The 26,803-nt window shown below is 38.8% G+C and overlaps 1 protein-coding gene across 5 annotated transcripts in view, besides 2 other annotated features; it reads left to right on the forward strand.

Moving 5' to 3' along the window:
• ARHGAP42 (Rho GTPase activating protein 42) overlaps positions 1 to 16,944 on the forward strand; it is a 306,654-nt gene extending 289,710 nt beyond the window's left edge. For all 5 annotated transcript variants that reach the window (NM_001367945.1, NM_152432.4, XM_011542616.3 and 2 more), the window contains 3 exons: positions 1,990 to 2,052; positions 10,516 to 10,595; positions 11,716 to 16,944. In NM_001367945.1, the coding sequence (NP_001354874.1) occupies positions 1,990 to 2,052; positions 10,516 to 10,595; positions 11,716 to 11,804 (232 nt within the window). In that variant the 3' untranslated portion in view covers positions 11,805 to 16,944. The remainder of the gene's footprint in view (positions 1 to 1,989; positions 2,053 to 10,515; positions 10,596 to 11,715) is intronic.
• Positions 1,172 to 1,740: an enhancer, noted in NCBI's record as "OCT4-NANOG hESC enhancer chr11:100848900-100849468 (GRCh37/hg19 assembly coordinates)". NCBI's record gives its function as "activates a minimal SCP1, AML or CMV promoter by ChIP-STARR-seq in naive and primed H9 embryonic stem cells {active_cell/tissue: H9 hESC(naive and primed)}" and the evidence as "EXISTENCE:reporter gene assay evidence [ECO:0000049][PMID:30033119]".
• Positions 1,741 to 2,307: an enhancer, noted in NCBI's record as "OCT4-NANOG hESC enhancer chr11:100849469-100850035 (GRCh37/hg19 assembly coordinates)". NCBI's record gives its function as "activates a minimal SCP1, AML or CMV promoter by ChIP-STARR-seq in naive and primed H9 embryonic stem cells {active_cell/tissue: H9 hESC(naive and primed)}" and the evidence as "EXISTENCE:reporter gene assay evidence [ECO:0000049][PMID:30033119]".
• Positions 16,945 to 26,803: the final 9,859 nt, after the last annotated feature.

The raw sequence follows: 26,803 nt of genomic DNA on the forward strand, positions 1-26,803 counted from the left end.
TGTCTCCCAGGGATACAGAGAGGAGTTGAGTGTTTCAGAAGAACTCTTGGGAATCCCACAAGTTGAATACATTGGGAATACTTTATCTGTAGAGTGGGTACAGTCCACTTCTGTAAGACTCTATTCTTTTCTATGAGTGATGTGGAAGTCTTCGGATATGGACAGAATCTCTCTCACAGGGCAGCACTTCAAGCACTTTCCTTTGAAGCAGAGCTATGACTTAATTTGAGGAAATGAAAACTGATGTATAATACAGTAGTTATAAGCTTTGGAACTAAAAGTGTTCCCATTAAAAGCTAAACATCCATCTCTCCGCTGAAGAGACTGCCACGCATTGACTATAAGCCAGGTCCCTGCTCTCCTCACTGTTTTAAAGCAGCTTCTTTCTCACTTCCATCCTACGCCCGCATACCTGAGTCCTCACTGATTTAAACAAGCTAGTAGAGAATGAGGAATATGCAAGGCAAAAGTGGGTACTTCTCATCAAAGGAAATGATGCAGAACTGTAAAGGCTGGTAGGAGAAGGGTACATAGACATGAGTAGAAAGTGGGTGAAGAAGAACAATGGAAACCTGGCTAAACAAGTAAGCAAAAAAGAGAGATAAAAAGTTTCTCTCCCTTTCATTTTGTTTTCCTGACATTTGCTGAGAATTTCCTAATGCTCTCTGAGCCATTACTGGATGTCTTTACATGAGTTATCTCTTTTAAGGTCTGCAGTGTCCTTTGGAAATGGGTAGTATAAACCACATTTTAGAGATGACGAGAACTGATGCTTTTCTACCGTTTCCAACCTAGGGTTCTCTGACTACAATTCTGTGCTCCTTCTGTTTTACCTTCTCCATTTTTAATATGATGGCATTCTTCCTGACATTTTAATTATTCATTAAAAGTCCAGTAAGACATTTTACTAAGCCTGTTTCTATAGGAACTGTGTCATAAATTCATTAGTTCATCCTTTTCTCTGACAGGAACCTTTTGGTTGCAGAGCATGTTCAATGTACCTTATCTCTTTTGGTTAGAAATCCAGTTACAGTGGTATAGGCAAATATATTTGTCAGTGTGTCTACTCCCCACTGTGTGTAGTTCTGCCCATTAAGGGAAAGAAATGTTAAGCCAATGTATTAGGGAAGATGAGAGAATATAAACTCCATTCTTGGTGGAGGAAAGAGAAGAGTTTCTCTTTTGTGATTGTACCCATAAAGTAGAAATTCAAATGATTAAAGTGTGTGTTCTATATTAGGTGTAAAATGATCTTTGAGATAATCAAATGGCTTGGCTCTGGGAGAAGAGTTTGTCAATTAAAGAAATAAGATAGATTTTTTAAAAATCTAGCTTAGAACATCAAGGAATTTTATAGAGTCTTCCAGTAAATATAGAAACTCTTTCAATTCTTTTTAGTCATACCTGATAGTCTTACCTGTTCAATTAGAACATATCCTCTCTGCCTTGCCCTCCATGATTTGAAACAAGATGTAAATCTACAGATTTGTTTATTGGCCATATTTTCAGAGTTTGCCCTTTTCACTTTACAGACATATGTTCACATATTAAAAAAATACATCAATAGTATTATAATTAGTGTTTTCTTAGCTAAAAGAATGAACAACAGTTCTTTTGTCATGTTGATTTGATTCTTTGCATCTTCACTCGTGGCTCCACAGGAGTCAATAGCCGTGCTGCTGGGAGCAGAGTAGAGAGAAAATGTTCCTTTTACTGCTCCCATGGTTTTCTGAGATAAAAAGGATGAGGATAGTAAGATCCCCAGAGGAAGTAGCTATTGGTTAATTACAGCCTGGTACTCTGTAAGCTGGAGGTTAGATCTAAAAATCTCATTGACATTAAAGGTTAAAACAATTAAAATTCCCTTCTAATTTTGGCAATGGTTCTCAACCATTTTTTGTCTTGTTTAACTGGCAATCATGAATTTCACTTTGAGCAGAACTGAATGTGATTGACTTCATGAAACTTGCATTTTAAATCATTTTTCAGAGTGGCAGCAAAAGCTCAACTGTTTGAAAATGTTGGTTCACCTAAACCAGTTTCTTCTGGGCGGTAAGTTCTCCAAACCCTTAAATGCATCTAAAAAAAAGTGGTGACATTGTTGCTTTGTATTGACATGACACTCTCTGTGACAGCTCCGCCTCTCCATTATGCAGATGGTCAAATTTAAGTCCACTGGCCCTTCACAGGAAGTCATGTCTGTAAACAGCATATATCATCTCACATTGTTATAGTGATGTCTCATTTGCTGAAATCTTCACAGTAGAAGGGCTCTAAACAAACACATTTCCTAGAAGATAAAAATTGCTATAATCCTTTATACATCTTTGATGACAGTCATTTTGGGACCACTTTTCAAAAGCATGTTCTTGATTTTTAAAAGTTATATAACTTTTTCTGGAGGAATCATCATGAATATCCATGGAAAAATATGGTTATCCTTAAGGATCTCAGAGATGTTGTAGAGTTAATTGCCCAAAGCGACTCTGTTTTTAGAGTACATAATTTCATTAGGGGTTCTCAGATTTTACATTCCATTCCATTATTAAAAGGATATGAGTTGTTACATCTTGCTTCTACTAATGTGCTTGCTTCTAAAGTTCCTACTTTACTCTTCTTGCTTTCAAATTTATTCTTGATCTACAGTGGGCTTCGGTTTTTAATTTGAATAATGGAATTTCATAAAGTCAGAGGCTTTTCATTATTTTTTTTTTTTACTATCAGCTGCTAGTACAGGTAGGAGACACTCAATGCCTATTGTTGAAAGAGCATATAAATGTGAGAACTTGAATAACAAACCTTGATTTTTCCTTTAGATGTACGAACACATTTTTGAGCATCCAATGTCTGGCTAATTGAGGCTGTGAAGGAAAGGAATCACAGATACTGTTGTATAGTTGTTGTATAGTTCCTCTAAAAGTTATTTAACCAAATAATTTTTATCAACCTGTAAAAGTATATGGACTTTTTCAGCAAACATTTATAAAGTACCTAGACAGTACTGGGCATGTGATAGTTATTAAGAATAACAATAACAATAACCTTCAAACTCTCTTTGGTTTTGTTCAAAGCCCAGTAAGGGCCCTCATGTATTAGGTTTTTTTAACTGCAGAGAGTAGAGCCACTTTGGTATCTTCCTAGAATAATGGTCAGTGCCTAGCATTTAAATAGCTGAGCCAAGAGCATGTGAACCTTACCTCTGTCAGCAGTGTCTTTATCTTCCTTTTGACCGAAGCATGGTGAAAACTAAGCCCCATGCATGTCACAGCAAACATCATTTCTCTGAGATTGTCTTGATTTTTAGGCTTTAGTGTAAGGGATTTAACCTTGCTACTTCTTCTGCCATGCTACGTAGTTGAATTGCTCACTAGATGGAGCCCTTTTATTAGGAAGCTCTAAAAAGTCAGCCTGTTAAGTAAAAACTCAGGTAATCATAATCAAAGAGGTAATCCCCGTAGAGCTTTAAGAAAACAAGCTATGGATGAAGTAAATCAGAAAGCTATCATATAATAAAAATACACTCAGATGTTCAACAGTCAAATCATACTTCTTTTTCTTCTTCTTTTTTTTTTTTTTTTTTTTTTTTTTTTTTGAGAAAGAGCCTCGCTCTGTCACCAGGCTGGAGTGCAGTGGTGCGATCTTGGCTCACTGCAGCCTCTGCCTCCCAGGTTCAAGTGATTCTCCTGCCTCAGCCTCCCGAGTAGCTGGGATTACAGGTGTGTGCCACCATGTGCAGCTAATTTTTGTAATTTTAGTAGAGACAGGGTTTCACCAGGTTGGCCAGGCTGGTCTTGAACTCCTGACCTCAGGTGATCCACCCGCCTCAGCCTCCCAAAGTGCTGGGATTACAGGCATGAGCCACTGCACCCAGCCAACTCATACTTCTTTAATATGTTTTTGCATTCTGAATACTCTAAATCAACTTTTAGTGGGGATCAGCATAAACTTAGAGCTCACTCAGCTCTACCTTCAGAGTTACAGTCTGTCAGTTCACAACACTTGTGATTTGTGTGACAACTTTTCACTGAGGCACAGGGGAACATGAATGAACTTTAGGTCAGACAGACCCTAGTTCAAATTTTTAGGTCACCACTTTCTAGTTCGTGTAACCTCAGAGTTACCAATGTTGGGGAATCTGTTTTCTTTATCCATACAATGAAGATCATAATTCTCAGCTTGCCACATTGTTGGGAATGTACACAATACTGTGTTTGAACATGACAGGTGCTCTGTAGATGGTTTCTACATTAATAACTATTATCATAATTATTGTTGAAACTGCTTGCCTAAGACACTCAAGCCTCTGATTAATATATTAGTGGTATTTAAACACTAACTCTTAACAGTTACCTGATATTCTTTTGTACTCTTAAATAAAACTGAATGACTCATAGAAGTTGAGGGAATTTCCCTGACCTTCTACAATGCCTGTCTCATTTTTGTTTTTTTCCTAAGGAGCTCAAGGTTACCCTTGAATTAGACCTTGAAAGAGATAGAACCAGTAGAGGCAGTAGGAAGACTAGCCATATTTTGGAAAGAGACCAGTTGGGAGATTTTAGTGGATGGCCTTGAGCCACGGAAAAGTAACCCCCCCAGCATTGCTGCAGGCACTGCAGGTCATTGAACACAGGGGTGATCTAATCTATGATGCACCAGAACAGATCATTTTCCAGCAGGTTGTGAAGGGGAGAGAACAGTCAACCATTTAGGATGGAACTGGTGAGATTTAAAAGGCCTTAATCAGGAGAGTAGCAAAGGGATGAAAAGCTATAAGGAGATTTTTATGAATAGGATCAGGATTGGGCAGCTGTTTTGATATTGGGAATCAGAGACAGGAAAAGAAGTTTCCAAGTCTCTGAGACAGTGTTGGAAAGAATGGTGGTTTAGCTTCTGATCTTAGCTTGTGCATATGTAGGAGGAAGGGAAAATTTTGGCCATAGGGTTTGAGGAGGCTGTGAGGGCCAATGAGAGGCAGTTAGAAAGGTGCAGCTGGAACCAGGAGACAGCATGGAGTTTGATGCCATTTAAGAAACTTCTACATAGCAATTACTCTGTATAGGTGAAGGTGAAGGTACCTAGCAAGGAGGCTTACTAAATGAAAAAGAACAAATGGCCAAGCATTGGTCTTTGGGGAATGGTTTTATTTAACGTTCAGACAGAGAAGAATGGACAGGATGAGAAGGCATGACCAACAGTGGTAGAAGCTGCAAAAAATGGTTTAGGAGATCAGGAGAGGACACTGGTTTTAACTCCTAAGACATCATTGGAGATCTGTAAGAAAGCAAGTTCACTGGAATGGGAGGGACCATGCTGCAAGACTTGTTAAAATGAAGATTCCAGGGTTTTGCCATAGACCTTATAAACCACAATGTCCAAGACTGAGGCCTCGGGAAGCTGCATTTTTGTCACCCTCCCCAAGTGATTCTTATGTACATGAAAGTTTGAGAACCTTTGGAATAGAGAAAAATGTCATAGTGCCCGGCACAGCCCTAAGCAGACATTGGTTATTTACAATTGTTTTCCTTAACCTATAAAATCCCTTTAAAAGCCAAATGTAGCTAGGCTGTGTCTTACCATTATAAAGGCATGTGGAAAATAGTATCCTTAAAACCTTCACCTGGGTCTCAGTTATACTCAGAGCAGAGATCCACTTTAAAGTAGTATAAACAGGCAAGCTATACAAATATGTTTTGAAGGCTGAATTGAGAATTAAGAGCATAAATTGAGAATTGAGTGTCTGGTTCATTGTAAACAATCAAATGTTTCTATTATCAAATTTTAAAAGACAAATATTTTGCTTAGAATTACAAAGGACAAAAAGCTCAACAAAGTTACCTTGCCCAGTGAGTTTGAGTTTTTAAAAGGCTATAAATCACTGGTTTAGAACACAGTTACATATGTAAGACACACATAAGATGCAGAAATCACCATAACACCCATAAGCAAAAAAATTTGTGATGTTTAAAATAATAATTTAATGATTTTCCTTTAGAAAATGTGAAAATTAATGAAGAAGTAAGTTAAAACCACTTATAATTTCATCACCTGAAGAAAACTGTTAAAATTTGGTGCACAGCCTTCTAATCTCATCCGTGGCAGTGGTTTCTCAAACTTCTTGATCTCACAACACCTTTATAAACTTAAAAGATCTTTAAGGATCCCCAAAGGGCTTCTGTTTTTATGGATTATATTTATTGATATTTACTGTATTGGAAATTCAAACATAACATTTTAAAATATGTATTTATTGAAAATAAGAATAAGCCTATTACATATTAGCACAAATAACATAATGTTAATGAAAAATGATATTTTCCTAAAGAGTTGAACTGTTTTACATTTTTTCAGATATCTTTAATACCCAACATAATACAAAATAAATGAATTGTCATATACATTCCATTAGCTTCAGAGCAATGATATCTTAGGCTTCTGCCTGCCCCTCTATCTCCCCTCCACAGGTTCCCTTGACCACCTTTTGAAAACTACTCCTCTGTGATAAACACACAGAAAAGGACACATGGGCAGGGATGCGGGGATGGTAGGGGAGTTCACTGTATTGTTGCTATCATAGTGCCCAACACACAATAGATGCTCAATAAAATTGTTGAATGAGTAAATAAAATGCACATTTTTAACCTAAAAAATACTTTGTTACTCACTTTTTCACTTCTTTTTCAATGGAATTGCAATATATATGTCTTTGACACAAGCAGCTTTAACTCTACAGGCTCAGGTGGAAGTTTTTAGCATTGAGGCATTCAGTATTACTTAGATATTCAAGCTGGAAACAGCCAGTGTTTGTTGGAAAAAAATCTTTGAAAAGAACATGTAATTAATTTTAAGAAATCTGCAACTAGGCTGGGCATGGTGGCACACTCCTGTAATCCCAGCACTTTGGGAGGCCAAGGCGAGTGGACCGCCTGAGCCCAGGAATTTGAAACCCTGTGTCTGCAAAAAATATAAAACATTAATTGGCACGGTGGTGTGCACCTAATAGTCCCAGCTACCTGGGAAGCTAAGATGGGAAGATCACCTGAGCTCCGGAAGTCGAGACTGCAGTGAGCCATGATTGCACTATTGCATTCCAGCCTGAGCAACCCAGTGAGACCCTGTCTAAAAAAAAAAAAAGCAAAAGAAAGAAAAAAAAATCTCCAATTAGTGCCAAAGGAACAAATGCAGTGCTTATTGGTAAACTGTCATGGGCAATTTAGGGTTCTTGCCAAGAACAAATTTGTAAACTTTTTGTCTTACGCATTAACATTGTTTCATTACATGAGTTCTTCAATAGCATTATCTATAGTTGCTGCCTAATACTTCATTAGATTGGTGTGCTCTAATTTATTTTTAAGTTCTCTACTGATGAATACTTAAGATTGTTGTGATTTTTAAAAATTTCCACTTTTATATATAGTATTGCTTTAGTATCTTTCTACCTCCGTGCACTCCTATTCCCTTCAGAAGTGAAACCGTCAATAGCATACAAAATGTGTGTATTTCTCATTGTTCAAAAGGCCTCCTGAAGACATTGTATCAATTTTGATGAATTTTTAAAATTTCTCTTATGTTTAAGATAAGCACTGGCAAATTTTGCACACTGACCCAATCAAACTTTTGTTAAGTTTCCTCATTAAATGCATTAGACGGCATTTAGAATGAGGAATGAGGCTGGTGGGCAGATTATTTTTCCAATGATAAGGGAAGAAATGGCTTTCAGAACTGTGCCATTACCTCACTCTCCCAAGCAGTAAGAGGCAGGATTTTCAAAATCTTTTTCAAAGAGAGATTAGAATCTTCTGAAGAGAGATACAATAGGTGACAGTGTTATTTTCACATCCTCTTCAATACACCAAGACAGTAAAAGAGGAAGCGTTAGCACCTGAGGAAACTTCACTGTTACAGAGTCTACATTAAATCATCAAAGCTCTCTGCAGAGTTAACACCTGCAGTTACAGATCTCGGCAGAAGAAAATTCCGTCTAGTCAGTGCACAGATAATTGAAAAGTCATGACAGGTAGTATTTTGTGCTGTGTGATTTTGACACATTTAACAATATGTATGTCTTTATTTATTTAGCGATATAATTATTCTGTATGCTTTTCCCCTCCCTCAACCAGTCCCATAAAATACTATAAATACAAGTAAGGAGAACATATATGTCTAAAATATTAATTACAAGATTTGGGGTACATTTTAAAGTGTAGTTTTGAAAATTAGGTCATTGTAAAGAATATTGTAATCACTTCTACAACTTCGGAGATTGTTTCCTTATCGATCTCTTTATAATTTGTCTTAATGGTTCAAAGAAATATGACTTATTGTTTACTGGAGGAAGCTGTTGCTATTAGAAAATGTGATTTTTTGGAAAAATATTTCCTTTTTTTTAGGAAAATGGTTCTGAAGTCCTCAGTAATATCCTGATCAAATCAAATGGTTATAGTTGGCTAGAAGATTTATAGGGAAAAAGTTTATATTCTATTTGAGACTACCATAGTCTGATTCTTAGAAGTCTTCAGAACCTGATAATGTTCTCACTTCCAACCTCTATGCAACCAACATACCCACGTGCATGTGTTCATGTGCACACACACAGTTCTTTAAAGTCCTGTCCTTCTCTGAGTGCCTCTACTTCCTCAGTTCTTCCTTAGACCATGTTTCACTGGGACGTTGTGCTGTGTGGGCTGAGGGTCATTCCCAAATCTGCCCCGCTAGCAAGCTTTCTGAAAGTACAGCCTGAGGCTCACCTCTGATGAAAAGACTGGAGGCAGGTCCAGAATTTTCCTCTCTACACCTTCCAATCTTCAGATAGTCTTTGGGAACCCCAGTTTAAATGGCTGGACCTCATTCTGGAAGTGTAGGGTTAAGATCCAGGGTTGAGCTCCAACAGGGAAATGAAATTATAATGTAATGCTGCTGCTTTGGGAGAGCTGTGGATGCAAATGCTGCTGACGCTGCTTTGCAGGTATAGTGCTGGGACCCCAAGGAGGATAGATAAGGTGCCCTGAATCTTTAAAAAGACTCATCATGTAGAAAATGAACCCAGAACATCTTTCCTTTTTCTCACTCATTCATTTAGCTAACATTTCCTGAGTTATACTACTAAGCATCAGACATCGTTCGTGGAGATTTTATTGTGTCTAGGGGAGAAGATAAAAATATCAGCAATAATAACAAAATACCAGATACTAACACCATGCAGACTTGAAGCAGGAAGATATGATAGTTCCCTGGGCAGCTATTTCAGAGAAGGCCTGACCTTCAGCAAAGTTCTTGAAATTTAAGATGAACCTGAAGTACATGGCCATGTGAAGATCAAGAGGAAAACATCTCAGGACATGGACATAGCTGGCCTGAGGTGGGAATGAATTTGGCATGTTTGAAGGAAAGAAAGAGGGCCATTGTGACTGGAGTAGAGTAGGAGAGCAGAGGCAGGGACACAAAGAGGCAGGGGAGACCACCCGGCACCTGACTGCATATAGTTTGTGGGCCAGAGTAGGAAGCCAGTTGAAGGGTTGTCAGGGAAGTAATGTGATCTGATGGGCATTTTAAAGCTGCCCTCTGGCTGCTCTATAGATAATGGATTGTAAGGGAATAGAGGTTCTAGGAAGCCAGGAAGCCATTTAGCCAACCAGGTTGGAAATGCTATTGTCTTGGACTCTGGTTGTGGAAGAGATGATAAGTACTTGGAGTTGGGATCAGTTGCAAGTCTTACCCAGGTTATTGAATGTTGCAGATTAAAGGAGACCTGCCTGGTGCCTTGATTAGCAGCCTCAGATTTTGCCTTTTTAGTGTTGGCTCAAATATTTTTGGATCATATCTCATATGTAACTCCTAAATTCTGACTTCACTTGAAAAAAAAAAAGAGTATCTGGTATGCTGAGCATGAATTTGCATATAGTGACAGAGGTTGGGAGCTGAGTGGTTGGCTTCTCTTGTTAAGGATGGGTGTACCCTGGTTTGCAAAGCCTCCACCTGTCCCCATCATCTTCTTGATGGTGAAGCTATAGTTGGTTGCCATTTATCATCAACTTATCCTATTATTTTTCCTATATCACGCCCAATCAACTTACTTAGCATATTCTTTAAGCCTTTCAATTTTTGGATCTCACCTCAGATAGTCTGAACATGAAAGTGGGGGAAAAAAAAGCTTTGGGGTACCTAGGAACCTTCGTTCCTACATAGCTGTAAAAACAGCCTATTTAGCAACTTATTAAACAGTTAAATAATAGCAGTCTCTAAAACCAACCTATATTGTTATAAGCCAGGGATTACCCTGGAGAGCATTGCCTAGAAACACAAGAAAGGTTTCTAGTGTGCTAGTAATCCTTGATTTCTTGATCTGGTAATATGATTGTGTTCAGTGCAAAAAGCACCGATGTACACTCATATATGCACTTTATGTACATTATGTTCCAATTACAAGTAAAAATTAATAGCATTCTTGAAGAAGAGTTTTAAATATAGATGTCCTTAGGTTGAGTGTTGAGGTTTTGACAAGTTGTCTTGCTCTTTCAGCCAAGCCAAAGCCATGTACTCCTGTAAAGCAGAGCACAGTCATGAGCTTTCCTTCCCACAAGGAGCAATATTTTCTAATGGTAAGTATGTCAATTCCCTCTGCCTAAGTTTGTCATCATGGGGAGGATGAAGGAATAGTATGGTGGTATGAGTCTAAAGTAGAAGCCAGAAGCCTCAGATTTTATCCCATGTCCTGCCTCTCATAACGGGCATGCATGAACACATCAAATCCCTCTGGGTGGCATGCATCTGTAGTCCCAGCTGCTTAGGAGGGTAAGCCCAGCCCAACCCACAAAATAAATAAATAAATAAATAAATAAATAAATAAATAAATAGGCCAGGCGCGGTGACTCATGCCTGTAATCCCAGCACTTTGGGAGGCCAAGGCGGGCGGATCATGAGGTCAAGAGATTGAGACCATCTTGGCCAACATGGTGAAACCCTGTCTCTACTAAAAATACAAAAATTACCCGGGCATGGTGGTGTGCACCTGTAGTCCTAGCTACTCTGGAGGCTGAGGCAGGAGAATGGCTTGAACCAGGGAGGCGGAGGTTGCAGTGAGCTGAGATGGCACCACTGCACTCCAGCCTGGCAACACAGCAAGACTCTGTCTATAAATAAATAAAACATTTTAAAATTCCCTCTGGATTCATTCCTCTCCTGCAGGCATTTGTGTGTATGTACCTGTTTGTACATGTGTGTGAGACAGAGAGATTGTTTTATTTGACTATGTGAATGCAAAGGACATTCCAACTTTAGAGGGCTGTGACATTGTTTTGTTTGGACGTTTGAGTTGAGTGTATAGTTGGACCCTCTACATTCCAGAATTTTTGCATGCACACTTTAACCAACCATGGATCAAAAAGGTTGGAAAATAAATAGATAAATAATAATACAAATTTTAAAAATATATAGTATAACAACTATTTACATAGTATTTACATTGTAAAAGGAATTACAAATAATCTAGAAATGATTTAAAGCATACAGGGGGATGTCCCTAGGGTATATGCAAATATTACATCATTTTATATCAGGGACATGAGCATGCACAGTTTCTGGTATCCACAAGGGGTCCTGGAACTAATCCCCCACAGATACTGAGGACTGACAATCCGATGTGGGTGTTTAACCCATCTGTTTATATAATTATTTGACACTAATGTTGACTGAGTGCTATTTATTTATTTATTTTGCCAGTGTACCCATCAGTGGAACCAGGATGGTTAAAGGCAACTTATGAAGGCAAAACAGGACTAGTTCCAGAAAATTATGTTGTCTTCCTCTAATACTATTTAGTGGATGGCAGTATCTTCATGGTATCCATGGTAACGAATAAATGCTATGATTTTATCTGACACAGATACACGGGGATCAGCCCACTAAGTGAAAACAGTCAATTTCTATCAAGTTCTTCACCAGCAGACTATGTAGCTCCTTATTAATGGAAAAAAAGATTTAAATTGTTGGCCATTCTTTTTTGGTTGGTTTCTTATTTTAAAATATCTTACTTGTGAAAAATGTGTTTTTGGATAATATGTAACTCTCCACAATGTCGCTTCCGTAGCAATTGTAGAGTTTCAAATACTGTGTTAAATACTGTATCCCAGAAATTTGGAAACCAGAAATCTGCTATATGGATTTTGAGATCTGTCCTTTACTGCCTGGCATTCTCTGAGGATCTCTGAAATTGTTACTTAAAAATGTAATTTAAATTGTTCATTTATTGTTTTTTTTTTCTTAGAAATATACTGCTTTTATATATGATTGTTTTGCTGGTCCTAAACATTTCAAGGATGTAAGTCTTTGTTTTAATATAACTTTATTTGTTTTCCAAGTAGATGATAATATTCAAAAGCAATAATGTATATGATATCTATAAAGGAAGCAAAATTAAGTCATACACTGATTCCACTGTAAACAATCTGTCCAGAATTCCAGACACCTTCAGCAAACTTTTTCTGTAAAGGCCTGATAGCAAATATTTTTGTGGTGGGTTGAATTTGGCTTATGGGTTATAGTTTGCTGACACCTAGTTTAGAGGGTGTGTAAAACTATCTTCATAACTTTGAGATTTTTATAAAATTTTACATGAAAATATACTGATAAATTATATGCACATATTTTCTACCAGTAGCATTATAGTGGCATCATAGAAGAATATTTACCAATGATGGGGAAACTGTAAAACTACAGTATCAAGGCATACAACTTAAATTCCACTTGGAAGATTGTAAAGTGTCAAAGTATTTTAATGATAATTTAATTTGGGCTTTTGAAATGTTCTTCTACAAATGAAAAAGATGTTTAAAAACGTTACAAGGGAAGCTATGCCTTCTGAAGTCTATCCTTAGTTGAAACAGAAAATAAACACAAAGGTACAAGATCCTTAAATTATTTTGAACCACAGAGGTTGAAATTGTTTTGTGATCTTCAGCAGAAATAAAATCTGTACATGATTTTCTTTTATGCCTTTTAGTTTACAGTCTTTATTAGCAATTTCAGTGAATTTGTAGAGCATAGTAATAGGTATTTACTGTCCACTTATATATATCAGCATCTGGTCATGCACGAACCATTAATTCTATATTTCTATTTCAATAATTCTAATATATTATTTCTATAAATGTAATATCTGTATGTGGCAAAGAGCCTTTCTTCTCAAGATCCTGAAAAGCTGGTTACCTGCCCTTTGAGTGCCACAGTCCTGAACTGCTTGTTCTTGACATCTTGCATATTACTTCAGAGTTCCCCACTGTGCAGACTCTCAGGTATTAACTGTAAAAAACTCTTTACATGCCATTATTATCTGTAATCTCTATCTCTTCTACTTTAAATTAATGTTTCTAGAATTAATAGGTTAAATACACATACACACACACAACTATGCCTCAGAAAAGTTAGGCTTTTACAAATAAAAAGAATAAGATTAGAATTAACAAGTAGAGAGAATAACGGTAGGCAGAGTCAGAATCAGGAATAAATATCAGTGAATCAAAAGAATGAAAAATATTATGTAATAAAAATTAGCAATGTAATGTAAACGTTTGATAAAAGAGTATCTTTTTCTTTTATCTCTTACTGTTGACCTCTGTGCACTGTAATAAGGTGTGTTGCTGGATCTTCTTGGTCGAGGTCCTTGGTGACCTTAGTAGTAATAACAGCATTGCTGACACCCTAATTGCCCTCTGCTGGAACAGAAGGTAGTTTTCCAGTGTACCAGTCCCTTAGTCTATACAGCACCCTTGGTTTAAGCACACTTGCCATCATCTGGTATCCTGCTAGACTAGAATCTCTTAAAAGCAAATTGGTTTTCTTTCAAAGACCAACTTGACTCCAAAGAGAGATTCAGAATCCTACTTCTCCTGCTGCTGCATAAAGAATCTCAACCTTCATTTTATTTGAACACGGACCAAAGTGTTCCTGCTTCTGAGTTGTCTGTAAGCTAATTCTGCAGATGTTCCATTCAGATTTAAAGCTTTTTTACTGCATAGGATGTGGATAGGAAGCCTAACTATTGTATCTGATGGCAAGGCATATGTTGCAGCCACAGTACTGGCTATGGTCCCTTTGCTGAAACAAGCTACAGAAGCACTGATTCAAGTTGTGCTTGTGCTTGAACTTTTAATCTTCTAGATTTGTGAGGATGGCTCTTTTTCCTTCATAATGGATTACAATGTAAGCAAGTCATGGCCATATACTGGAGACGGGCTAAAGCTGCTTTTCCCTTAAAGTAAGTTTCCTACAGATAAGGTATTTATGAGCACTGAGAAAGTCAGGACATGTACTCTAAATCACACAGAATGTTAATTCCACAGGAAGGCAATGCCAGACATTGAAAGAGGATCACATTCAACTTTTAATAGTAGTTCAATAACAAAACCTTAGCTTTTCAGGAACAATGTGAAGATACATTAGAATTGCCACATCCATATCTTCAAAACACGCAACCTCTGCACCCTAATAACTGCTTACGGTATAATCAGTATGATGATGAGATTGAGGGGGTCTAAATTTAAGTTCCTTATCTCCTGAGTTATGTGAAAATATCCCTCAGTACAAAACATTTGTGTGTTTCACAGATGACTCTCTTGTTTTGCCGTAATGCTACCAAGTTTATGGAAACTAGTCAACTGAAGGATTTTTCTGTTGTGTTATGTGTAAATGTCTGAACAGTAAAATCATCTGTGTATTCCTGTAACATTCACGAAGTATGAGGAAGTGGGTTTCTCCTTGTTTGATGTGAGTGGTTTTGCTTGTTGCATGGGTTCCCTGTGCTTTGTAACTTGCATGAACACAACCAGGTTTCTCAACAATGATTTGTCTGCTGACTCTTTTCAGAGATAGTGAAGGAAAAAAAATGTATTAAAACCCCAAATTATCTAGGTTTCCAAGTAGGAAAAATAAAGATACATATGACTTTTATTATTATTCGATGATAATTAGCTTTATATAATGTGGCATCCTTCATAAAAATTCACTATGTTGTGAGGCAAACAGATTTCTCACTATCATCCAGTGTACCCTGCTCACCTTCTCACTCCTAGCACCGTTCTTCTGGTCTGTGTTGAAAAGGGTATCATTCATGTGGTTTCAGTTTAGAAGAGTCCCTCAGAGCTTTGCCTCAAGCAATTTCAAATTGTAGTGATACCTTAAATCATGTATTCAGGATGCCTTCTTTAGCATTTAGAACCCCAACTAGACTTATACTTTGACTAAAGTCAGAGGCAGACCAATTTAGGGAACAGATTTTGTTCTTTGCTTTTATGATACATTTGTAACTCACAGCTGTTAGCATGACCTCACATCACTGCGTAGGACCCGGAAATCACATCTCCTGGTCAGGTCACGAAAAAGAACACAGGCTTGACTATTGTCCAGAAGTTACTTTCCCCTTGACTAAAGGTTTCCCCTTAGGGTACACATTGCTATTTAACTTTGCCTCCTACCCTTTTTTGTTACCTTCCAAAATCAAGACACTTTTAAGAAACAAAGATAGTTTTCTGAACATTCTGTGTCCTGCCTGTCTCCTGTTGATTCGCAGATGTAATATCGAGTATTCATCAACTGGTCTCAATTTCCTGAACACATTCACTGTATCCCTCATTGTCACCGTTATCCCCCTGCTTCAAAATGTGCCAGTTCCACTTGGTAATAACGTTGGGAAAATGCAGGTTTATGAATGATGTGGACTTTTAGAGGATCAAATCAATAAATTGGATTTTTTATTTTTTGAGGGCAGCTGCCCTCACTGTTTTAAATAAAGAATCTTACATAAGAATGTTGACAACATTCACAGTAAGCCATTGGCAGAAAATTGATCTGCATGTCCTAGACCAATGATTACAAGGTGTCTGTGGTTTAGGGGGCCCAGCCCATCATTCCTTTTCCCCTTGGCACTCATGAGAGAGATGCCAAGTTCAGTGTGGATTTTTCTTGGTGCTCTATGGAGAAATGGAGTCTGTGTGCTTACTGAAGAGTCCCAAAAACCAGAGACCATTTTCATTTACTGCCATCATAAATATTCTCCACCATTCAAGATGCCTGTGTACACGGCTATTTGGGAAACTTAAGTGTTGGAGGAGGCAGGGGCTGAAGGTGTCAAAACCTCCTCAGTAGGATAACCCCTTTCTCCCCTTTGGACCATCTGCCATCTTTCATGAGTGTTTCCCATGGTGTTTTTGCATCCAGAGTTGACAACAACTCAATTTTGCCTTGAATTTACTCAGTCTTATAAATTAAAAATGTGCATTTTATATAAAGATGCATTTTATATAAAAATGCACACCTTTAATCTCTATATGGCAGCATATACATATATATATATAAAATGCACACTTTTAATCTCTATATGGCAGCATTTTTGAGGCTTTATATCTGCCCGTGTACCCTCAACTGCCTCCTTTTTGCAGAGAACGATCCCCACAGGAACTGGTCTAAGAACACTGTCTGCACATGATTGATGCTTAAAATCCAATATACCACCACATATCAAAGGTTGGGATTTTCAGAGTCCTTCTTGATTTCTGAGCTGAAACCTTAACAAATAGGGAATTTGGCAGGGAAGACACCTGGGTTTTTAATTCAGAACCCTATTTATATACTGTTAAAATTTGAGGTACTGTAGTTTATATAAAAGTCGGATGTTAAGATATTATATTTCAGTACTAGGAGCTTCTTTGCAGTCATTAACATGACAAATTAAGTAATAAATATAAAAGTGATTGTCCATAAATTATCATTGAATTTTTTGTTTATTTTGTAGTGTTCTGTATTTATCTGCACTTTGTGTATATATACACACATACATATGCCAACATGTAAATAACCTCATGTTTATTCCTAATCTAAATTGCCACAATATTTTTAATGTATGGTTACACTGTGTTTTAAATTACTTTAAAAATAAACTTTGTAAGCAGATTTTAATTTAGTCTTTGTACTTGAAGACCCACTGTGTTGGAGGGCAATTGTCTTGGCTTCATGTAGAGAAAAAACAAAGTTTCTGGTACTGTGAGTGATCACTTTGGTATGGCTAAATCATAGCAGAATTTGGTGACCTTCTCCTCACAAATTGGTATTCTGCAAGCTTTGGAAAATGTTAATGTTGATAACCTATTAATAATGCAGGTATCCACCGAGGGGAGAGGGAAATGGGCCATATGCAAAATACTAAATATAACAAGCATACAGGCTTACCTGAAAATATATATGTTTATAAAAGTTTCCAAGTGTACTATGGAAGAAATATCAGCGTACAAATACCTCCTGTCCATTTTTATTAGTCTTATGAACCTCTTGGTCATGACTTGACTTCTAGGTAAAACTTTGCTTCGCTGCATCAAAAAAAAAGATAATCGTGTATTTCTTTTGCATTGCTCCATAGATTATTAGAGTGCAGCAAATCACCTTGCCAAAGCTAAGCCTCACAGGTTGACCATTGGACAACCTGGCTTGCTCACATAGGTTGTAGTTTTCATCGATATCAGAGGAAAAGAGATAAATTCATGACACAACACCTGTTCAGATATAAGGATTAATGTTAACTCCAGTATAGTTAAGCAGGAAAGGACTATTAGGTTAGATATTACAGATTATTCTAGATGAGCTACTGTTTAAGAATGTTGGTTAAGACTGTTGGCCTGGAATCCCCTATAACTGATATTTTAGAATTAAAAATGAATTAACTTCCAGTGGCCAAAGCCGGAATGATTTGAGCAACAAAATAATGCAGTATTGAATGATTGGCTTATAAAACAAAGTATAAAATGAATATCCATGAATCCACATGGATATCAATGACAATAAATTTCACTTGTGTAAAAAAATGAGGGAGAAGAGACAAATCTTTACAAAAATATTCCAAATCATAATTGGAGTTATAGTTACCCTTCCCTCTAGCAGGTAGAATTTAATCCTCTCCTGCTTAAAGGTGAGCTAGACTTAGTAACTCATTTCCAAAATTTAGAGTATAGAAAACCGTCATAACTTTATAGAAAAGAAACCTAGTAGCCACTGTCTTAACCAAGTGGTAAAACTTAATATCAGTGATATCATGTGGTTGACTTACACCCCATAATATGTGATGTGAAGAGCAATTCACCTCTGTGGTATTCTTTCCCCAAACCCATAATTCCAGTGTAACCATTAGAAAAACATCAGACAAGCCCAGACTGAGGACATTCTACAGAAAAGATCTCAGCCCAGTACTCCTCAAGACTGTTGAGCTCATGAAAAATAGGTAAATACTGAGCAAATGTCACAGATCAGAGGAGACTTAGGAGACAGGGCAACTAAATGTAATGTGGAACCCTGGACTGGATCCTGGAACAGAAAGGAGAAAATAATAGCGGGCGTGGTGCCTCGCGCCTGTAATCCCAGCACTTTGGGAGGCCGAGGCGGGTGGATCACCTGAGGTCAGGAGTTCAAGACCAGCCTGGCCAACATGGTGAAACCCCGTCTCTACTAAAAATACAAAATTAGCCGGGCGTGGTGGTGCATGCCTGTAACCCAGTTACTCAGGAGGCTGAGGCAGGAGAATCTCTTGAACCATGGAGGCAGAGGTTGCAGTGAGCCGAGATTGTGCCATTGCACTCCAGCCTGGGCAAAAACGAGTGAAATTCCATCTCAAAATAAATAAATGAATAAATAAATAAATAAATAAATAAATAAAAGATAAGCTGGTGGTGTCCAAATAAGGTCTAAACTTTAGTTAATAGTTTAAAAAACAAGGTAACAAAAACTACTCAAAAAATAGTACATGAGCTGGGGATACTTATATCATTTTGGGAATTTAAGTGACTTTTTCAAGAATTAAACATTTTCACTTGTTCCCCATTAAATTTTGATCTGTGTGTGCAAGATACATCTCCTATTCATCAGTCAATCTCAGGCTTTAGAACAGAGTTGGGCATACATGAATACAGTAGAGTAAGCCCCTTTCATTAAATGAACAAATTCATTAGCAAAGGAACAAACATTGTAAACCCTTTAATAATTTAAAGAATACGGTTGTGGGCTTGTGTTTTTATGTCTGTCAATTCTCCCAGGAACAGTGAAATCATTCTTCAACATCCATGAATATATGAATCTACTCTGGAGCCATTTATATGTTAATGGTGTAAACAAACCTTTACACACATGAACAGGTCTTAAGGGCAGAGGTTAAACAGATTTTCTTCTGTCATTACCAGACCTAGCAACACTTGATTGAGCTGTATAATTTGGGGGTGATGTTGAAGAATTCAATTTTCTAAACCATTAAAAATATTCCAAATTTGGAAAATTAAGCTATATTAAACTTGCAGTTGAAGTTTTTGAGCCAAATAAGTTGTGTTGTTAACTTTGAAATTGTGTATAGCCCAAAACTGAGAAGACAAAATTCTTTTCAAGTTTCCAACATGACAGTTCTTGCTATTAGGGGAAAAAGGGGGGGAGCTATAGATAAGAACATGAGTTATAGATAAGAACATTAGAAAGTTTTTCGAATAAGATACCCTGGGGAATGCAAATCCCCAAAATACTGGTTGACATGCTTGCAAATGCTGTTTCTGGGTATTTGGGGCAAATGAGCCAAGCATAGCATTTAGCTAGACTCCATTTGTTGACAGAAATAAGTTATCTGGAATATTCTACCTTTCCAAATGCCAGGAGCCAGTCTGCTGAAAAGCATTCTCTGGATCAGCCTGTGCTAGAGGGAGGAAAACAAAAATACGTATTTCTAACCCTCATAGATGTTTATATTCATCACATCACCTATTTACAGACCTTTTTTTTTTTTTTTTCAAAGAATGGGTGCAATTACCCAATTCAAATAGCTTTCAAAAGTATTTTTGGAGCAACTGGAACAGAATCATTTTCTTCGAATAAATCTTACTTGGAACCAGTTAAAAATATGAGTCAAGCTGCTAGCCTCAGTGCCTACATGTGTGCTGAAGAATGGCCTGCACTTCACCCATGCAGGTCCACAGCTGCTTTTTTTTTCTTTTTCTTTTTTTTTTTTTTTTCTGAGACAGTCTCGCTCTGTCACCCAGGCTGGAGTGCAGTGGCACAGTCTCGGCTCACTACAACCTCCCCCTCCTGGCTTCAAGCGATTCTCATGCCTCAGCACCCCCTTACAGGTGTGCACCACCACACCCAGCTAATTTTTGTATTTTTAGTAGAGATGGGGTTTCATCATGTTGGCCAGGCTGGTCTTGAATTCCTGACCTTAAGTGATCCGCCCACCTCAGCCTCCCAAAGTGCTGGGATTACAGGCGTGAGCCACCGTGCCCGGCCAGGTCCACAGCTTCTGGCATCTCCATGGAACGCTTAGAGCTTTTCAGAGCAAGGTTACCAAATAATTCAGTCCAAGCCTCTCATTGTGCTAATTAGGAAGCTGAAGACCACATTAACATAGTTTCAGCAGAATGGTGAGCTCTTATCTCCTCTGTAATCTGCTACCAATTTGTGGATGTGTGGGGAGGGCAGCTTCTCATAGGGTTTGATCTTTGAAAAGTTTATCTGGAAAGGATATCCTTCGAGAAAGGATAACTTTCCTGGAGGGTACACACAGAACAGGAAGGCAAAAGGTTAAGTAAGACCCAGCTCACCTTGGCTGTTATAATGAAGAACTTTTTTGCGAGGAGGAGATATATAAAAATTTCAGAAAACAGGTATGAAAGGTCTAGCCCGGTGCCTTGCAACTAGTAGGTGTTACTGGATAACAATTATTTTTAAAGACTTAGGGGTTTGAGTGTGCAGCTTTCTGATGCAAATGCTAACAGAACAAGTGAAATTTTTAAGCTTCGTTGAAAGAAATTAAATAATGGCTCCAGTGTATATGATACATAGCCATTAATCAAGTGTTTCCCATGCACTGTGTCACAGCAAACTCCAGTCCTCCCAACTACCAGATACCGTCACTGGATGTCTCCTCTGCTCTTTTTATTTTTCCAGGAAAGAAAACTAAGGCTCTGACAGGTGAATTTATCTGGCTTATTCATTATCATATCATTGGTATATGGTAGAGGTTAGACTCAAACCCAGATATTCTGGCTTGAAACCCAGTACTCTTTTCATTGAACCACCTCTTTACTACACCAAGTGGAGTATGGTAAGCTTTGGCTACCAGACTTGAAAGAGGTATTTGGCAAACTCGACCTTCTCCAGAAGAAAGATGAAGATGGTGAGCGCCTTATCGTGTGAATAAGTGTTAGACCTGAGCGTCATTACTCAACGAGTGACCTTTCGACCTCTTAAAAGCTGTTTAGTTGCAGAATCTCAGAACTTCTGAATCAGAATCTGCATGTTAACAAGCTCCCCAGATGATATCTATAAACGATGAGGTTTAAGAAGCACAGGTTTAGCAGAACTATGAACGAGTTCTTTGGGGCTACCTGAGGGCAATTTTGAGATGTTTGAGGGCAAGATATGTCCAACTACTCCAAAAGCCAAAGATCACTGGGAGAAGTCACAACAATTGAGATTTAGGTTCAAAAACATAATTATATTGCCAAGTCTTCCACAAACGGAACTCAGGAAACAGCTTTCAATCACAGGCAGTGTTTGAGTGGGTCTAGATGACCGCTTGTCAAAATTTCACAGAGTAGAAAAATTCAGTAGGCATCTGAACGCATGAAAATTATTGTGCAGGACCTATTCAAGTCATTGGAGATCCTGAGAAACTTAGATATATTTCCTCTTTTCAAGAGATCCATGGTTTATTGGGGTAACGTACAGATCAATAAAATATAATACTATAAAATGCTAAAAAGATTAAGCATTGGGTGTTTAAGAGCCTGAGATAGGGCACTATTCTGAACCTGGGAAATAGCAGAAATGATGGAAAAGATAAGAGGATACAAAGAAAGAAGTGTGGATGATTTTACCTGGGTGGATGGTGTTATCAGCCAACCAAATTTTGGCAGAAGTGAAAGGCCAAAAGGAGTAAGACCCCAAAGCCAAAAGGAGCAATCCCACCCCAAGACAGGTGGGATTCCACATTACACAAGGGAAGAGGCTACTAGAGGGGTTGGGGAGAGGGAGGCGATAGAGTGGGTGAAGGAAGAGTTGGGATGAGCTGCATTTACTCTTTCAACCAACATAGTGCCAAACACTGTTCTGGTTGTTAATAACTTAAAAGAATTAGACATGGTTTTTCTTCCTGAAAAGTCCATAGCTCAATGAGGGAGACAGATATGTAAGTTAAAGACCACAGTACATGTATTTTTGTACCTATTAACCTCTTTTAGGATGACTACAGTTAACAATAACCTATTTTATTTTTCAAATAGCTAGAAGAGAATCATCCCAGCTAGAAGAGACTCTTCCCAGCATAAAAAATATTAATAAATGTTTCCCCTGATTTGATCATTACACATTATATGAATATGTCAAAATATCACATGTACCCTGAAAATATGTACATCTATGTATCAGTAATTTTTTTTAAACTCACAGTACAAATGAGGTAAGTATGATAGAGGCACAAAGTATAAAAGGGGCACACAGTAACCCAAGTTTAGAGAGGAAAGAAAGAGAGGATTAGAGAAGGCTTCACACACAAAAGGAACCATCCTAACTAGACCCTGAAGGACAGAACACCAACAGAAAACGAAGGCAGCAAAGGCCCAGAGACTTCAACAGAGTTTCTGATGGATTAAATTAATTCTGAGTGGCCAGGGGTTTGGCTGCTTGCTCAAGCATGTTGGCCTGTGAGTGTGGCAGGTAGGATGAGGTAAAAATGAGCACACTGGTAGCATGAGGGCCAGTCTGAGAAGGCGGGGAGAGTTTAGAGGGGAGAATGATGCCATCAGATTTACCTTTAAGAACACTGGATGGGGGATGGGTGTGAGGGTGAGTGTGTTTTGGGCACTGTAGGAAGGCTGAGGAGGCAATGTTGCACTGACCCAAGAAATGAACAAAGCCAGTACAAGAAAATGACTCATTTCAAAGGTCAAGGTGACATGACATGGCCACTGTTCTGAATGGTTAATTTAGGGGATTCAAATGTGGCTCAGATGTCTATAAGTGTGCTAAGGAAGGATCAGTAATGCATGCAGTGAAGAAGTTATCACAGCTGAGAAAGGCAGCTGAAGAAAAGGAAGGGGGCACAGTGAGTGGTTAGAATTAGTAAGTTTGGTGATGTGGGCTGACCTGGCCAGAGCTATTCCTCTTTTTAGTAGCTCTGGAGAGCACAGGCAGCAATGCTTAGAGATTAATTGCTTAATTCCTTTCATAAAATCAGGGGTTTTAACTTGGGTTCCAAAGACGGACTTTAGGGAGGTCTGTGAATTCCCTGCATTAAATACTAGGTGCTTTGAGTCTCTATATGCATATTTCTTTCCAGAGAAGGTTCCACAGTTTTGATCAGTTCTCAAAAAGCAACTCCACGTTTGACCCACCTGCTCGCCACACTAAGAAGTACTAAATGGCTGCTGCATACAGAGTGGCTAGAGGCTGTGGCCGGAATGTCTTTCAGAAGCAAGTATCCACTCTGTGGAAAGTGGGAGTGGAGTTTAACTTGGGGACAACTTAATCCTTCCAATATCTGGCTGAGAAAGCAATGAGGCTCGGCGGACTCAGCTTAGAAGTTCAGGCTAGCCTACAGATGGTGCCTATTCTTGTGATGAGGGAGTACCCAATGAGACCACAATACTTATCATGTGGAAATTTGTGCTGGGAGAGCCCGTGGGATTGCAGAGTATTTATACCCTACTTCTCAGACCACTCTCTGGGTCGGGGTTGTGGCCTAGAGGCCGAGCAGATTGTTTTTCTTCTGCTTTGTGAACCCAAGAAATCCATCTGCCAGAAAGGATTTTTTCTGGCTATTGCACATCAAGAGGGCCCCATCATCCTCTCCTCCATCCTGGGCCTTTCAAGGACTTCAGGGGCAGGCCTGTCTTCGCTCTAGCCAAGGAATGTTGGGTATTGCACGACACAAAGCTATGGGATTGTAGAGTAAGTTAAGCTGCCAAGCTTTGCCCAGCCTTTCCTGCTACTCGAGGTAAGTCTTACCTGCTGCAGACCCCCCTCCTGGGTAGGTTTCTAAAGTGCCTCATTTAAGGATGCAAGCTCTAGAATTAGAGGCTCTGGGTTCATATCCCAGCTCTGCCACTTACTAGCCATGTGACCTTGGGCAAGTTACTTAACCTCTGTGCCTAATTCCCCTTGTGTAAATTGAATATAAACATGGTACCTTCCTCAGAAGGTTATTACGGGAATTCCATGAGATGGTATTTGCCAAGTGTATTAGTTTTCTATTACTGCTGTAAAAAATCACCACAAACAGTAGCTGCAAACAACACAGGTTTGGTATCTTACAGTTGCGGAGTCCAGAAGCTTGAAATTAGTTTCATGGGACTAAAATCAAGATGCTTATTTCTTTTTGCATTTTACAGACCCCTCGCCTAAAGTCCATCCTCAGAACCCAGGTAAAAAACCCTTGATTCTATGGGAGGAATTAAGCAATGAATCTCTAAGCATCGCTGCTAGTGCTCTGCAGAGCTACCAGAAAGAGGAATGGCTCAGGCCGGGTCAGTCCACATCACCAAGTTTACCAACCGATTCCAGCCACTCACTTACACCACTTACTCTCAGCTGCTGCTTTCAGCTTCGATACTTCCCCAGTGCCTGCGTTGCTGATCTTTCCTCAGTACCTCACAGATATCTGAGGGCTGTATTCTTTTCAAGATTCTGGAAGAGTATCTGTTTCTTTGCCTTTTTCAGCTTCTAGAGGCTGCCCATGTTCTGTGACGACCGCCGCTTCCTCCATCGCCAAGCCAGCAGCATAGCATCTTCAGACCTCCGTCTGATCATGACCCCTGCCTCTGTCACTTTATCTGCTTCTCTCCATCTATTCCTTTCTTTCGCATTTTACTATAAGTAGCCAAAAGAAATGAGGGTGCACTTTGAACACTTTGCTAGGAAATCTCAGACAAATATTCAAGCTCATTGCTTACAAGTTCTGCTGTCCAATTAACGGCGTGACACAATTCTGCCAAGTTTTCTGCCACTATATAATGAGAATTCCCTTTCCTCTAGTTTCCAGGAGCAAGTTCCTCATTTCCTCCTGAGCCCTCACCAGCAGCACTTTAATGTTTATAATTCTACTAACATTATGTTAATGAAGATTGAGGTATTCTCTACAACAACATACATTTTCTCTAACGTGCCCCCCACCTCTTTCAGAACCCTTGGCAGCAGAACCTTTAACATCCATATTTCGATTAACAGGCTGATCAAGTTTATATAAGCCTTTTTCTTGTGTTCCTTAAAATTTTTCCACTCTGTGCCCACTGTCCAATTCCAAAGCAACATTCACACTTTTAGGTATTTGTCGCAGCAGAACTTCACTTCCAGGTACCGAAAATCTGTATTAATTCCTGATGCTGGTGTAACAAGTTGCTATAAACGTAATAGCTTAAAACAATACGGATTTATGAACTTAAAGTTCTGGAGATCAAAGTCTTAAAATCAAAGTGCGGGTGGGGTTGCCTTCCTTCTGGAAGCTCTAAGGAGTGAATGTGTTTCCTTGCCTTGTCCCTGCTTCTGGGGGCCACCTGCGTTCCTTGGCTCATGGCCTTTCTTGAATCACTCTACCCTCTGCTTTGTCATCACACCTCCTACTCTCATACACCTTTCTGGCTCTTATAAAGACCCCTTGTGATTATATAGGGTTCATTTGGATGGTCAAATATAATCTTTCCATCTCAGGATCTTTAATCCTATCTGCTTTATACCTTTTGCCATGTAAGGTAATATAGTCACAGACTCCAGGGATTAGGTGGTGAACATCTTTAGGAGGCCATTATTCTGTCTATTGTACCTGCTTCTCGGGCTTTTGTTTGATTGGTGGCCAGTGCTAAAATAACTCTAAGTAAAATAGGAGTAAGGAGGTCATCCTTAAATACTTAAACATGGTGCATCAGTCACTGTCCAGCTGGAAGACAGAAATCACACCAGTAATTAGAACAGGTTAAAATTAATATAAAGGTTTATTAACTAGTAAAAGGTGATCAACTACTAAAGAGCTTAACAGAATTTATATACATATATTTACATATATACACACACATATATATATGTATATATTTTTTGAGACAGAGTCTCAGTCTGTTGCCCAGGCAGAGTTGCAGTAGCATGATCTCGGCTCACTGCAACCTCTGCCTCCCGGGTTCAAGCAGTTCTCCTGCCTCAGCCTCCCAAATAGCTGTGACTACAGGTGCATGCCACCACACCCGGCTAATTTTTGTATTTTCAGTAGAGACAGGGCTTCACCATGTTGGCCGGGCTGGCCTTGAATCCCTGACCTCAGGTGATCTGCCCACCTCAGCCTCCTGAAGTGTTGGGATTACAGGTGTGAGCCGCTGTGCTCAGCCCTTAACAGAGAATTCTAAGGAACACAGAAATAGCAATGCAGAAAGCAGATGCTATCCTAGGGCAAAGGGAAAGGACCAGGGGACTAGTAACTTAATGAACCCCTTGAGGGCCGACATACACACCTTATTGGAGAGGGCACAACTACCACAAGATACACAGCATACTGGTTGCCTAAAACTTCCTAGAGGGTATGAGTTGGGGCTGACCATTTGTGTCGGGAAAATTACAGGGTGACAGCTGGTTTGCCAGGACTGCTTAGGTGAGTGCCACTGGGCCAAGTATATCTGATCTCGTCCCTTCTCTACCCTCTATCGACCAAAATGTGTAATGTCACACCAGCTGGCAAAGGAGAAATGTTTTCAGGGTCCAGCTCCAGTGTCATGAAGTGGACAAAAAAGGATGTCTTTGGAACTGAAGGCAATAAATT

This window comes from Homo sapiens, chromosome 11 (genome assembly GCF_000001405.40).
Source record: "Homo sapiens chromosome 11, GRCh38.p14 Primary Assembly".
In the NCBI taxonomy this organism is placed as follows: Eukaryota; Metazoa; Chordata; class Mammalia; order Primates; family Hominidae; genus Homo; species Homo sapiens.